The 15,148-nt window shown below is 34.3% G+C and overlaps 1 protein-coding gene across 6 annotated transcripts in view; it reads left to right on the plus strand.

The window, feature by feature from the left end:
- Nucleotides 1-15,148, plus strand: part of TAX1BP1 (Tax1 binding protein 1) — a 90,395-nt gene that overhangs the window by 24,906 nt on the left and 50,341 nt on the right. For 5 of the 6 annotated variants that reach the window (NM_001206901.1, NM_006024.7, NM_001362794.2 and 2 more), the window contains exons 4-5: nucleotides 1,556-1,743; nucleotides 5,398-5,556. In NM_001206901.1, coding sequence (NP_001193830.1) covers nucleotides 1,556-1,743; nucleotides 5,398-5,556 — 347 coding nt within the window. The remainder of the gene's footprint in view (nucleotides 1-1,555; nucleotides 1,744-5,397; nucleotides 5,557-15,148) is intronic. The other variant, NM_001206902.2, reaches the window with a different exon arrangement.

Consider the following 15,148-nt stretch of genomic DNA (forward strand, 5'->3'; position numbering starts at 1 on the left):
TCTCCTTGGTTTCCTCCTTATCTTTCATAACCTTTACTTTCTTGTGAAGTACTGTTAGCATTTTGTGGTGTTGTTTGTTTTGGTAGCTTGTCTCTCATCTTGGTTTTGCTCGATGTTTTCTCATGATTAGATTGAAGTTATGCATTTTTGGGAAGAATGCCATAGAAACAGTATTGTACCTTTCTCAGTACATTTTATCAGGGAGTATGTGATGTCCATACATCTTATTACTGGTTATAATAATCTTGATTGCTTGTTTAAGATTGTGTCTTCTGGATTTCTCCACTGTAAATAAAGTTATTATTTTTTTCCCTTGTAATTAATGAATATTATGAGGGAGCTACTTTGAGACTGTGGAAATATCTTGTTTCTCCTCATATTTTCAGCCACTAATTTTAGTATCCCTCTGTGCATCTTGCCTACGATTATTGTGGTGTTTGCCTAATGAAGTTCATTACTTGTATATTTATTAGTTGATCATTACGTTAGAAAGAATTTTCTTCTTCTCCATGGAATCATTAATTTCTTCTGTGAAATAAAGTCTAATACCATATTTTTTTTGTTACTTAAATTGTTTCAGCTTTAGCCATTTGGAGCTTTTCAAGTGGGCTCCTGTATTTTTTTTTGACATGCTCCACCCCTCTCTTAATTCCTTTTTGTGGACTGCTACTTTGCTTTAAAGCGCCACAAGAATTTCTCTTATCTTATAGATTGTCTGCCTCTCCTCTCTGTTTTTTTTTTTTTTTTTTTTTTTTGAGGCGGAGTCTCACTCTGTCGCTCAGGCTGGAGTGCAGTGGCACCATCATGGTTCATTGCAGTCTTGACCTCCTGGGCTCAAGCGATCCTCCCGCTTCAGCCTCCCTAGTAGCTGGGACTGCAGGTACATGCCATCACACCTGGCAAATTTTTGTATTTTTTGTAGTGACAGGGTTTCACCATGTTGGCCAGGCTGGTCTCTAACTCCAGGTGGGCTCAAGCGAATCTGCCCACCTTGGCCTTCCAAAGTGCTGGGATTACAGGCATGAGCCACCGCACTGGGTCCTAAAGCTTATTTTTACCATACTGCACTAGCAGACCTCATCTTTTCTGCCTTCATATAGTTCACATGTGCAGCATATTACTTTAGTTAATATCTCTTATTTACATGTAATGAATGTCAAATTGGAGGGAAGATTTCTCTAAATGACATATTCCCACCCCCACTCCCAGTCCTCAGTAGACTTTTATATTGGTTCTTCCCTTGCTCCTCCTCCAGCCTCTTTCCCATTGTAAAGTATATACTTGCCTGTCCTAAATGAGTGGGTTTTGCCCTAGTGAAGATACAAGGGGAAAGGATATTCTGGGAATATAAGCTTAAACCTAAGAGAAGAAAAAATTTAACTTTGAGTAGGAAGGAAGAATCTAGTTTTGATAATTTGCGAAAGGAGGAAGGACATATCCCAGATTCTTGTCAAGAACAGTGTGGGGAATGAGACATGGCAAGTATTGTTAAATTGAAATAACATGAATTTTATAATAGGAAGTTTAATAATTTTGTTTGTTAACTTCCTCTTAGGATATTACCTTCCAAATGATGATGGAGAATTTTATCAGTTCTGTTACGTTACCCATAAGGGTGAAATTCGTGGAGCAAGTACACCTTTCCAGTTTCGAGCTTCTTCTCCAGTTGAAGAGCTGCTTACTATGGAAGATGAAGGAAATTCTGACATGTTAGTGGTGACCACAAAAGCAGGCCTTCTTGAGGTTGGTGTTCACAGTGAGATAGTGATTCATTGATAATTTTAAGAACAGAGCTCATGTTGGTTGGCATTTTAAGAATTTTAAGGTTATGTGAGAGTTGCCACAAAAATCGAATGCTTTGGCTGGGCGCAGTGGCTCACGCCTGTAATCCCGGCACTCTGGGAGGCCGAGGCAGGCAGATCACGATGTCAGGATATCGAGACCATCCTGGCTAACACGGTGTAACTCTGTCTCTACTAAGAATACAAAAAATTAGACGGGCGTGGTGGCAGGCACCTGTAGTCCCAGCTACTCGGGAGGCTGAAGCAGGAGAATGGCATGAACCCGGGAGGCAGAGCTTGCAGTGAGCCAAGATCGTGCCACTGCACTCCAGCCTGGGCGACAGAGCGAGACTCCGTATCAAAAAAAAAAAAAAAAAAAAAAAAAAAAAAAAAAAAAAAAAAAAAATCGAATGCTTTTTAACTAAAATAATAAATTTAGAGTGTCTTTTTTTGAAATGCTTAAAAAAATCTTTTGGCCACAATTATGCTGTTGGTTCCACTGTGGCAGAGACTTTCCCTAGGGCCTATCCTTATTTTGCGCATAGTGGATAGTGCAGTAAGTACCAATTGGGAGAGTTTAGGTCTAAAGCTTTCCTTATGTTCCTTTGCCTAACTTTTTGTGGTGGCGTAATCAGTTCATTGTAGAATGTTACCGATTTGGGGATGAAGCTGCTTGGGATAATGGTGTAAATCAATAAATCTAACTGTAATTGGATGTGAACTTTGTTTCACTACCATGAGCATTCTCTTTCTAAAGTGTGGCAGTGAGTCAGGGGAGCTTCCCAGTCTCTTAATTTAGATTGGACATTTTTAGAATGATTCCTGTTGTACTTCTGATGAAATGAATAAGCCTAGATTAACCATAATTTAAAAAGAAAATTTAAAAAGCTATTTACTCCTTACTGTTTTTGTAAATAGAATATTGTGGAGTCATGATCATGGCTTTAATATAAATTTACTATGTAGATGGTCTAATAATGCCTTGTGTATTAATTTTTAGTAGTCATTGACAGAAAAAATAGAGTGACATTCTTTTCTCATTTTAAGATCACATTTTTCAATATCTTTATCCTATACCTAAAAAACTACAGTGTTATATTTGAGTTATTGTGATTAATTGTATATAGTGCCCTCTATTATAATAATAAGAAAAATAGTTTCTCAAATTGGTTCAGTATACATTTTTGGCTAATTTATATTCATATTTCTTCTATTGCAGCTATTGCTTTTTCTTTATAGTTGGATAGATTTTTTTAACATGTAAATATTTAATACCTTTGATTTTACTTTTATTTACCTCAAAGAACTGAGACTGGAGTAAAAAGACAAGAGGTTACAGATAGAATACTTTTATTAGACAGTCAAACTAGGTTAGGAGGAACTAATGATTTTTTATTGTGAATTCTTTCATATCTTTCCTTCCCCTTTACAGAAATTCCTCTCTTATCTTAAAGAAATGTAACTTTTATAGGGTGACTAAAACATTTTGTGGTGCAACTGCCTGATGATCAAGGTTTTTAGCTTTGTATTTGAATGCCAGTCAAAGATGCTGAAACAAACCCAGATCTTAAGAATGCAGTCAGTATTTATATTGTAGCTTTTTGAATACTTATTAGACCACCCTCATTTCAGGGCCTCCAACAGAAAAGTGATGGGCATTTTGGCATTCACATTTATCTTGTACTTTTTCTTCAAGTAGATTGAGACATATCTCATTCTGTTTCACTCCTTCCTACTCCACAAAGGGTACTTTATAAAGAATGTGAAAATTGCTGTTTCTTAAGTAAATATTTCTGAGATTAAATGTTTTTTTAACAAATATTTTGGTGAGTCTTTAAAATTCTCACATTCATTAAAATCTTTATCTAAAACTGCACAAAATTATTACAAATGTGAGACATTATCTGGGGTCCTGTTGACATTAAAAGTGATTAGTGAGACATAATTTTGCAATCTGTGGACCTTGATTGTGTCCTAGATTTAAAAAAAAACTGGGGGGATAGTGAGGGATATTTGACTATGGCCTATTGGAGGATATAAAATTATTCTTAATATTCTTAGCTATAATAATAGTGGTGGTTTAAAGCCAACTGTCCTTATTAGGTGATGCTTGCTCTGAAGTATTTAGGAGTGAAGTGTCTGCAATTTCACATTAAATGGCTTAGAAGAAAAAAGGATACATAAACTTAGGTATATAAAGAGATAAACATGCAAGATATTAATAATCAGTGAATTTAGGTGATGGATGTTTGGATGATCATTGTAAAATTTTAACTATTTTGTATGCTTAACATATTCCAAAATACAAAATTGAGGCAAGAAATGAGACATATACATTCTTATCTAATTTGAATTCTTCTAAAAATGTCTACTTAAGCTTTAGTGAACTCTTGAGAAAGTATATGTGAATTAAATAAATCACTGGAAAAGGTGATTCTTTTATAAAGTCTATGTTGTGCTATGTCAAGATATATCTTTATTTTTAAGTTGCCAGAGTTTTGAGCCAGATTTAATGCCAAATTAATAATGACATTAACCTTTATGGGTGATATACTTGCCTGGTTCTAATTTTCTGTTGACTTTATTGAATGCCATTTATTGCAAACTATTTCAAATCATTTTTTAAAAATAGATAAGATATAAAAAAATTCAATGATTGAATAAATAAACTTTTCCTGGCATTTTGATTTGATTTGTTGGAACAGGTAGAAGAGTCATTCAGAAAGTTTGCAGCTATTCAACTTTGATAAGAGCCATTTTAGAATTTAATCAGTTTGATTTCATAATCCCATGACCCTGGAAAACCAATTTGGGGTGTATGGAGGAAAAACATTTTACCAATTAAATGTATAATACCACCTTTGTTAAGTCTTCCCTGTGAGTCTTCATTCTTCCTGTAAGAGAAATATTAACTTTGTTTTACTATCTTATGACCATTTATTTAGTAATCTTTTAGAATATTGAAGTTTATATTTTCCTGAACTATTAGCTGTTCCCATAAGAATCAGGTATATTGTTAATATGTTGTTACAGTCTGCATGTTTGTCCTAAAATTTGTATTTTTACTTATGAAGAGTGTTTTAATTTAGCCAAGTAGAGGCCATTTTATATATAGAAACTATACATTTCTTGGTGTCTTAAGGAATCAGCACTTTTAGTAGTAATTCCATAGATGAAGGCCTTATATACCATATAGTAAGTTTGTGATAGATTCAAAGATTTCCTATAGGTTTGCATTCAAGAAGAGGTACAACTTTTCCTCTTGGAGTATCTGATTATTACTGTGGATAAGAAAGCCCTGTAATTAACGGGAACATTAATATGCCTTATTTTTAGTTCTGATCTCAAAAATGATTAGCAGCCAACTTCATAATACAGTTCTCTCATTTTGTAATATTTTCTTCTTTGCTCAACCAAAAGAAGGTTTAAATTTATGATTGATGAATTTTTCTAACTGAAGGCTAAAAAAAGGCTGATTGATATAAAGTAGGTAGAATGTAAGAGTTCTTTCTGTGAATGTCTTCATTATTTTTTTTGGAAATGGAAAACTAAATTTGTAATAACATATTTTAGGATTAAGCAAAAAACTAATTAATCTGAGTTTTTTGCTTTATAGTTGAAAATTGAGAAAACCATGAAAGAAAAAGAAGAACTGTTAAAGTTAATTGCCGTTCTGGAAAAAGAAACAGCACAACTTCGAGAACAAGTTGGGAGAATGGAAAGAGAACTTAACCATGAGAAAGAAAGATGTGACCAACTGCAAGCAGAACAAAAGGTTAGTTGTGTCTTATGTAACTGATTGAAGTTGATAGTATATTGCCTGAAACCCACCTTTTTAAAGAGCTGAACCAATTAAGTAAGTGAAAACCAGGTACTGAGAAAAGTAGCCTTTTAGATAGACGTTTATACAAGAACAGGTCAGTTCCTATTAACCTTCTGCCACAGCTGCTTTTATGTTTGTAAGATGGTTAAAATACTTTTAGACTTTTGGTACCAGGCTTGTTGAGGTAGTCCCTGACAACTATTTCCAGATGTTTTACATCTAATTGTAGAATACTTGATTTTTTTTGTTTAGAAATACAATTAGAAATGATAAACGCTGAATAAAGGAAAAATGGGATACATAAATTAAAATTACTTTTCAAAAAAGCATAATTTGGTGAAATAAGATGTAGTATTAGACAAAATTTTGAAATTTTTAATGGGTGAAATGCTATGTTATCCTAAGAAACAAACTAGTTAAAATTGGCAGAATTTCTTGAGCTAAGAAAAAGAGAGACAGGTACAATGAAGCAGAAAACATTGTGGCTTCATTAGTGATAGAAATAGACTTGTAAGAAGCCAAAAACAGTGAAAAAACAGTTATCTAGTCATTGACTTGTTTATTTAATATTTTCACAAGAAAAGCAGTTTGTTCTGAAACTTACACAGACTGTGATCTTATATATTACAGTCTCATGTACAGTAGAGCCGGTTGGGCATATTTATGCCCATTTACAGTATTGAGCTATTGTTTCCTGAGGGTGGGGTCTGTTCTGTTATCCTTTTGTCCAACAAGGCCTCCAGCAATTGCTTAATAATTGCTAAATGAACCGCTAGTGCAGTGATTCTCAAACATTTGTATACTCCAGTGGAGTGGTTATATATTGCACACCTGGGCAGAGATGTTATACAAGTAAGTCTTAAATTCTGAAAAGATTTTCCTTGCTTTGTTCTATTTGTTTGAGGATTGCTCTTTTGAGTTAGAGGGTAAACATAATGTCAAGTACTATGTACATTTACAAATCTCCTTATAAATGTGAAGTCTTCAATTCTGTCTTTTCTATCGTTAGCCTTTTTAGTTAAAAATATGCAAGTATTTCCCAGTTTTACTCCTGGGGAACACTTAGTGTCCTGCAGCAGACTATAGGAGTAGGATTTTCCATTTGGTTAAGGAACTACTTTTTTCATTTGAACCTTTGAAGCAGGTATACCAAGTATTAAAATATAGTAAAATCTCATAATATGTGCCCTCGATGACTATTAGGACATTCAGCAATTTTTTTTTTTTTTTTTTTTTTTTTTTTTTTTTACTCATTTGTTGTAATTCTCTTGCTGCTTTGTGTAGTTATTACTCTCTTTTTCTCCATTCTTCACATATTTTTCTCATGATTTATACCTGGATTTGGTAGTTTTCCAAAGTTTAATGTCAATCTTTTTTTTTTTTTTCACTGTATTACAAGCCAGAGGGATCAAGGTGAGATAGATGACTCATGAAAAAGGCCCATTTCACCATGTCCTAAGCCCATGAGATCAAGAATATCCTGAAATGTGGGCTTTGAGGTTTTGACTCTGATTACTTTGAAATCCAAGGAAGGAATGGATGATTGTGAGAATAGGAATGGCGGAATGATAGGCCTTCATTTGTGTGAAATTACATATATATATACACACACACACATCGGGCCATTTCTCTGGTCCATTTGAGTAGTAGCTAAGATTTAAACAGTCTCAGATTCTCTGTGCTCTCCAGGTGATAAAGGGGTTAAGGACTACAGACAAGACTAAAGTGGTAGACTGAGGTCAGGGGATTAATGAAGCAAAACTTGTAGGACATTGTGGCCTTGGTGCTCAGAAGAGGTCTTCAGCAGAAGTTTTTATGCCAACTCTTAAATCTTGATGACAGTCACGAATCTTGGAGGAGACTGCTTCTCTGCTGCCATTCTTGCATTGGGGCATATTCTCTGGGAAGCACTTGAAAGTGATTTTTTAAATGATATTCCATATTATAGAAAAAAATTGACAAAGGACCTGGAATGGTACTTGATGCATGGGAAGTTCTCTCTAAATGTAAGTAGCTATTATTATTTTACTGTTTTTCATAATAGGAACCAGAGAATCATCAAGGAAGGACTACAATATAAAGTGTCATCCAACAGGACTGGAAATTCATAGCATTTCCCTCAGATTCTAAAAGTATAATGGATACATAATGTAACCAAAAAAACCCTCTAAGTTATAAGACATATGTGGTGACAATTGTTTATTTCTGGGGATAAAACGTGTTGGCCAGGAGAGATAGTTCCTCTTTGTTACTAGTCAATGGACTTTTAGTTTTTTTTTTTTTATGAATTTGCTTCATATTCCAAAATTAGTCTCCATTTTAATCAAGCATGCCTGCTGGGCAGCTACAACTCCAGACTTTCAAACTGGTCTGGTTGGATGGCTTATAAAATCTGTGACATTTCTTGGCACTTGTTTTAAATCTGTTCCATGGTGTGAATCCTATAGTAGTTCTAGAGGTCTTCTATTTGAGGTACTGAGTATATAAACTGTTGAATATCTGAAAGATTGTTCTGATGTATCATCTATAATTTCATTTAAAGTTTTGTAATGGATTCTCCATGTAATAAGCAGAGACCTTCATTTTCTTCATAATAGGAGAAATTTATTGCATTTCCATTCTTTTATAAAATAATATGACTAGCTTATTACCTATTCCATACTTGACAAAAAATAAAAGTGAATTAAATTCTGTAATTGTTTATTAATAAAATTTTTCATCTTTTATCACATTGACTTTTATCACTCTAAAGTGCTCTAATAATTAAAACTAAATGAAATTCTGATAATTACAATTCTTTAACTTGGTAAATTAAAAGAATTGGATATGTTGGGATTATTACAACAGATTGGTTTAAATTATGTGTTTGTTTTTAATGTTATTTTATGAAATTGGCTGCTTGAAGGAATAAACTAGGATTACAAAGTAGATTAAAACTAAAACAAGATAATGTTTATAAATTGAGAAACAATAAATTACATATTGTATTTCCCCTAGATTTTTGTGGTATCTACTTCATTATTCATGTACATCCTAGATTTAAAAAGTAACTCTATTATTAAGGATAATTTTCCATTCCTTTCTGGTTCAACTGTAAGGGAAGATTTCTCCCCTCCTCTCTTGAAAAAGGCTCATTAATAAAAATAACTCATATAACACTTAATAAAAGCCAGATGGTGATTTGAGTGCTTTACATATGTTAGCTAACTTCGTCCTGTGAAGTAAGCAGTATCGTCTGCATTTTTCAGAGGTAGCACAGAGAGGCTACTTACTTGTCCGTGATTGCACAGTTAGTAAGTGATAGAGGCTAGCAGTATGGCTCCAGTCCGTGCTTTTAACCACTGCTGTATACTTCTGAGGGCCAAAGATGTGAGCTGATCTAATTGATTATTTTTCAAAACAGCTTTATTGAGATGTCATTTGTGTATCATAAAGTTCACCAGTTTATACAATTCAATGGATTTTAATGTATTTACAAAATCATGCAACCATTACCATAGTCTAATTTAGGAACAAATTCATCCCCAAAAGAAAGCTTTTACTTACTTGTGGTTACTCTACCGTTTACCTTCTGATTGCTTCCCCCAGTCCCAGACAGCCACTAATTGAAATTTCTGTATCTATGGATTTGTGTATTTTGGACATTTCACATGAATGGAATCATATAATATGTGGCCTTTGTGACTGGCTTATTTCACTTAGCATAATGTTTTCAAGGTTCATCCATGTTGTAATATATATTGTTAATTCACTCCTTTTATTGCCAAATAATCTATTGTACTGATGAGTATTTTTTGAAACCCCATCTTTACATTTATCAAAGACTTCTGTGAAAATTAGCAGTTTGTGTGTTTCATTGTGTTCTTGTTTGTATTTTGGAGTGCTAGATACGTATTGGAAATTGAAAGAGTTAAAACTGAGGCTCAGAGAACCAGTGATTTTGAATCTTGTTTTTCAAATAGGAGTAAAAAGAGCTGTGCCTCTGTTAAGTTTTTCAGTTAATTTAGCTTATAATTTTTTTGGAGCCTAAACTATGAATTGAGTTTTTTTCATATAATTGTATTTTCAACTTGAATAATAAGATGGATGTGATGTACTTCAAGGCATTTTTGAACTATATTTGAGAATATTAAAGTAATATTGCCAAAACAATGTAATGGAGGATGTTACAAACTGTTAAATGTATTCATACTGTTTTGATTCTTAAGTTTCACAAACTGGGTAGGAGACATCACCAGGTATTTGGGAAGTATCATAGGTATGGGAGTGAGAGAATGTGCAAGATCTCTTCTCTGGTTAGTGTGGACCTCTTAAGCTATCTTTATCTTTTTGGCTGTTTCTTCTCTAAAACGTAAAGATATTTTGTGTTGTTGTAGAGTGACAGCATATACTGCAAAGAACAACTTGTCATCAGATAGAGTTTTCCTTTTTATTCTCATTGAAATAAGGTGGTCACTTAGTTTTTCTGAGTTCAGGCTTCCTCATGGATAAGTCGTCTAGTTAACAAGTGGCAAAGTTGAGAACCTGAAAACCCAAGCTAGGTGTTTTTGTTACTATATTACAATGGCTTATAATAACAGATACAAGTATAGTATGTCTCTTTATTCATCAAGTATTTATGGAATAAATAGATAACAATGAGTTTTGGGGCTTGTGGCATTCTGACCAGCTTTAATTGTAGTCAAAAGAAGGGTCTGAAGGTGACGTTTTATTTGGAATATGGGATTTTATGGTCTTGAAAAATGATTTAAAAAAACATATATTTAAAAACTATCATTCTTGGACAGTCCTGGTTTACTATATGTGAGCTATTTACAATGTTTTCTTTTTATGCATCTTTAGTGTTTTTCTGTGGCCTTCCAGTTCTTTTAAGAAGTTTTAAAAAAGCACTATTTTGTACTTTATCATTTTATAAATATTGTGGGTATTCTGGTATTTAAAGGGATGAAAATACCAGTTTTTAACAGCTAACAAATGAATTGAAAGATTTTGTATTACTAAAACTCAGCAGTCATTTGTCTCCCTCTAGCGATCACATAACTGTGCCACATTGCCCATTTACTTAGCATGTTTTGATTGAAAACCAGAAAAAAGAAGTTTAATACCTTTTAAATTATGTTGCACATTTTATGGAATTTGGTTTACATTTATTTAAGATTGTCCTGATTACAATTTTAATAGAAAATCAGTAGTTCCTGCAAAGATTTTGGGAAGCCTTTAATATCTTGCTTCATTGAGCCTGAGAAGCTATGGTTATACATCATTACTGCCAGGAAAAAAATAATCCAAGTAAACTAAGACATACCGTTGATTGTAAGATGCATCTCCATTTCAGAAAGGATAAATTGTGGGAAAAAATCAGCATATAGTTTTAGTACAGTAATGTAATGTCTTTGTGGATATTAGTCATTGAAATGGTTTTCTCATTTATAGAAGAAATTTTTCTTATCAGAATATACCAGGACACATAATGGTATGGTTAGATGAAACTCATTGATAATACAATTGAAGGATCATATGTATTAAAAGTTTAAAGTTTAGAATTTTGAGTTGCGGGAACTTAAGTCAAATGGAGTTCTTTCTGATAAATGGAATTTTGTGGTGGTAGCTTTGTAATATGTCACCTTGCTAGGCTGAACTTATTTTCCAGAGTTCTCTTCTCTGTAATTTGTTTAGGATGAGACACAAGAGAGATTCTTGCATGAGATTTGAAGGCAGAAGTGAAGCAGCAGCCATTTTTGTAGCTTATACAAGTTGTGGCTTCTCTCCTGGCTCACCTTGTTGGTATGAGGTAGTAGTAGCCAGGCTGCAATTGCCCTACCTTCTGTGGAATCCTCTTTCAGTTTCTCCATCTCTTGGGTTAGGTCTGTCAGGAAGGACCCCAGCATGCTCAAGACATCTTGAGACTATCAGGGTCAGAATAAAAACCAACATGGACTTCAGTTTTCAGTCCGTTCTGGTGGGCTTCATCTGGTGATTGTGGATCCTATTTTGTTCTTGCTTTTCCCACTTTATGATGTCTTTCTTGATTGCCTGCCTTACACAAGCTAGTTCCAGCTTCTACAGTTACACAAGATCAAATCTCTTAGTGTCTCTCTCAGTCTGTCTGTTCGTCTGTCTGTCTTTCTCTCTCTCCCCAGCTGTTTGCTTATCTGGTCAAGCACTGACTGATAAATTTACCATGGTACATAATTCTTAGGGAGATTTTATGCAACTTCAAATTTGAAATTCTAGTAATGTAAATTAACATTTAGGAAATTGAATTAACCATTTTCCCTTCAAAATGGTAGTGGTACCTTTTGGAGTACTTAAGTATTCTTCAGTGTATTGTAAGTAATTTTAAGGATTCTTATAAAGAACCAACCTGGTAAAATGCATAGATAAAGGTTTCTGTCTGGTATAATTTTCCTTCTACCTGAAAGGACTTTCTTTAACATTTTTGTAGTGCAGGTCTTCTGTTGATGAATTTGTTCAACTTTTGTATGTTAGGAAAAGTCTTATTTTACCTTTAGTTTTAAAAGAGATTTTTGTTGTGTATAGAATTCTAGATAGATAGTTTTTGTATTTGAGTATTTTAGAAATGTGGTTCTTCTCACGTTTATTGTTTTTGATGAGAAATTCAGTGTCATTGGTATTTTTCTTCCTTTATATTTAATGTGTTTTTTTCCTCTTACTATTTTTAAGATTTACTCTTTATCATTGAATTTAAGTGGTTGATTATGTTGTGTCCTCTTTATTTTCTTTATTTTTTATGCTTGGGGTTCAGTGACCTTTTTGTATCTGTATACTTATGGTTTTCATTAAATTTTGAAAATTTTAGGCCATTATTTCTTCAGCTGTTTTTTCTGTCTTTCCTCTTCTTCAGGGACTCGAGTACACATATGTTTTGTTGCTTAAAGTTGTTTCAGAGTTCACTTGTGCTTTTTTTTTTCACTTGTGCTTTTTTTTTAAGTCCCTTTTCTCTCTGTTTCATTTTAAATAGTTAAATTTTATTTGTCTCCAAGTTCACTAATCTTTTCTTTGCAATATTTAATCTGCCATTAGTCCCATCCAGTATATATATATTTTTTATCTCAGACATTGTTGTTTTCATTCCTAGAAGTTTGATTTGAGTCTTTTTCATGTCTTTCATGTTTCTATGTGTTTACTGTGTTCAATTTTCTTCTAGCTTCTTGAACATATGGAATACACATGTTTAAATGTCCGTTCATTAACTTGATCATCTGGCTCATTTCTGTATCAGTTTTGATTGATTGGCTTTTCTACTCATTATGGGTTATATTTTTCTGCCTCTCTGCATGCCTAGTAATTTTTGATTGGATGTCATATATTGTGAATTATACCTTGCTGGGTGTTGGGATATTTTTTATATTCCTAAAAATATTCTTGAGCTTTGTTCTGGGATGTGGTTTAATTACTTGGCAACAGTTTGATTTTTTTGAGCCTTGTTTTCAAGCTTTGTTTAGTGGTACCAGAGCAGCATTTAGACTGGGGTTACTCTCTCCCCACTACTGAGGAAAGACCCTTCTTTCAATTAGAGAATACTGTAATTGTTCTCCCATGAATTATGAGTTTTTCCACTCTGGCTGGTAGGAATAACCACTATTCCTGGCCCTTTTTGAGTTCCAGGCACTGTTCCCTGTAGTCCTTTTTGGGTGATTCTTTCTCCAGCCTGGGTTAATTTCCTCACACGCATATGCTGATCACTAATCAGCTCAAGACTTGAGGGGGACTCCTTGCAGATCTCTCGAGTTCTTTTTCTACATGATTCTTCTCTGGTACTCTCTCCTGAAACTATTCTCCTTAGCTTTCCTAGACTCTCAGTTTCTCTCCATAACTCAGGGAGACCACTGGATTCTGCCTGAGTTTGCCTCTTTGCCCTGTGGCCTTAAAAGTCTCTCTAGACAGTAATAAGCTGGAGCAGTTATAGAGGTGACCTCTGTTGTTTCTTTTCTTTCAGGGATCACTGACCTTTTATCCTGATGTCCAGTGGCTTGAGAGCTGTTCTTCATTCAGTTTTTTAGTTTTCAGGTGGTAGAGTTCATTTGGTTCTTGTTACTTTATCTTGGCACGATTTTAGTTGCATCTAATTGTGTGTTTTAGAGTCGCTATCAGGAGAAATGTTTATTTAGAGGAGCCAAGATATTCTTTCTCAAGTGATTTGAATTATCTGGTATTCTAGGTACCCAGGTTTAAAAGCCTGTATGGTTTTTCTGCACGTATTTGGCATTCTGTTCTTAGTTTTCTATTCCATGGTACTCAAAGTAGCTGGTTCAGAAACTTTGTTACTGGTCTGTGTTGGAATGAAAAATGTACACTGCAATGTATGTAAATGCATTACTTTCTTCACTGAGAAAGTATTGCTATGAAAAGCTGTTAGGTGAACCCAACAGTGTGGTTAGTGATGTAGTTGATTTATATTTTGTACAAGTGTCTTGTCTTGATATAGCCTGGTAACTGTCGGTGGTCTAGTACTGTTCGCCTAGTCACACTCTTGAGTAGCTGCTTGTACTTTATATTACGTAGTTTAACAAACGTGGACTTTTATTTAATATGCTTTTTATTGTACTCAAGAATATAGATAGGTTCTGTAAGATTGTATCCAGGATTATTCAGTTGCAGATATAAAAGAAAGCAAGCATCCAAAAGCCAACCTATATTAACTTCAGTTACCTTGATTTTTAAAAAACTTATACAATTGGCCAGGTGCGGTGGCTCACGCCTGTAATCCCAGCACTTTGGGAGGCTGAGGTGGGTGGATCACAAGGTCAAGAGATCGAGACCATCCTGGCCAACATGGTGAAACCTCGTCTCTACTAAAAATACAAAAATTAGCTGAGTGTGGTGGCACGCACCTGTAGTCCTGCTACTCGGGAGGCTGAGGTAGGAGAATTGCTTGAACCTGCGAGGTGGAGGTTGCAGTGAGCCAAGATCATGCCACTGCACTTCAGCCTGGCAACAGAGTGAGACTGCGTTTAAAAAAAAAAAAAAAGTATACAATTTGGATGGTTTTTTGTATATTTATAGAGTCATGCCACCATCACCAAAATTTAATTTTAGGATGTTTTTTATCATCCTGCAAAGAAACCTTGAGTCCATTAACAGTCACTCCTTACATACCCCTGTCTCCAGCCCTAGGTAACCTTGAGTCTACTTTCTCTGTCTCTATATTTGCCTTTTTTTTAATATTTGTTTAATGATTTTGAGGTTCATCCATAGATCAGTACTTTGTTTCTTTTTATTGCTTAATAATATTCTATATCTTGATGTAAAATTTTCTTTTTAAAATATAGAGACAAGGCCTCACTATGTTTCCCAGCTGGCCTCAGACTCCTGGACTCCAGCCATCCTCTCACCCCAGCCTCTCAAGTAACTGGGACTACAGGTGTGCACCACTGTGCTTGGCTCATATCTAGATTTTTGATTTTTGAGGCAAATATCTTGAGGCACTTTCTGACAAGTGCTTTGCTGTTTTGAGATCCTCTACCATATGTATTTGTTGCCCTTCAAATTGGCTGTTTTTGGATTAAGTGTACTCAGTATC

This window comes from Homo sapiens, chromosome 7 (assembly GCF_000001405.40).
Source record: "Homo sapiens chromosome 7, GRCh38.p14 Primary Assembly".
NCBI lineage: Eukaryota > Metazoa > Chordata > Mammalia > Primates > Hominidae > Homo > Homo sapiens.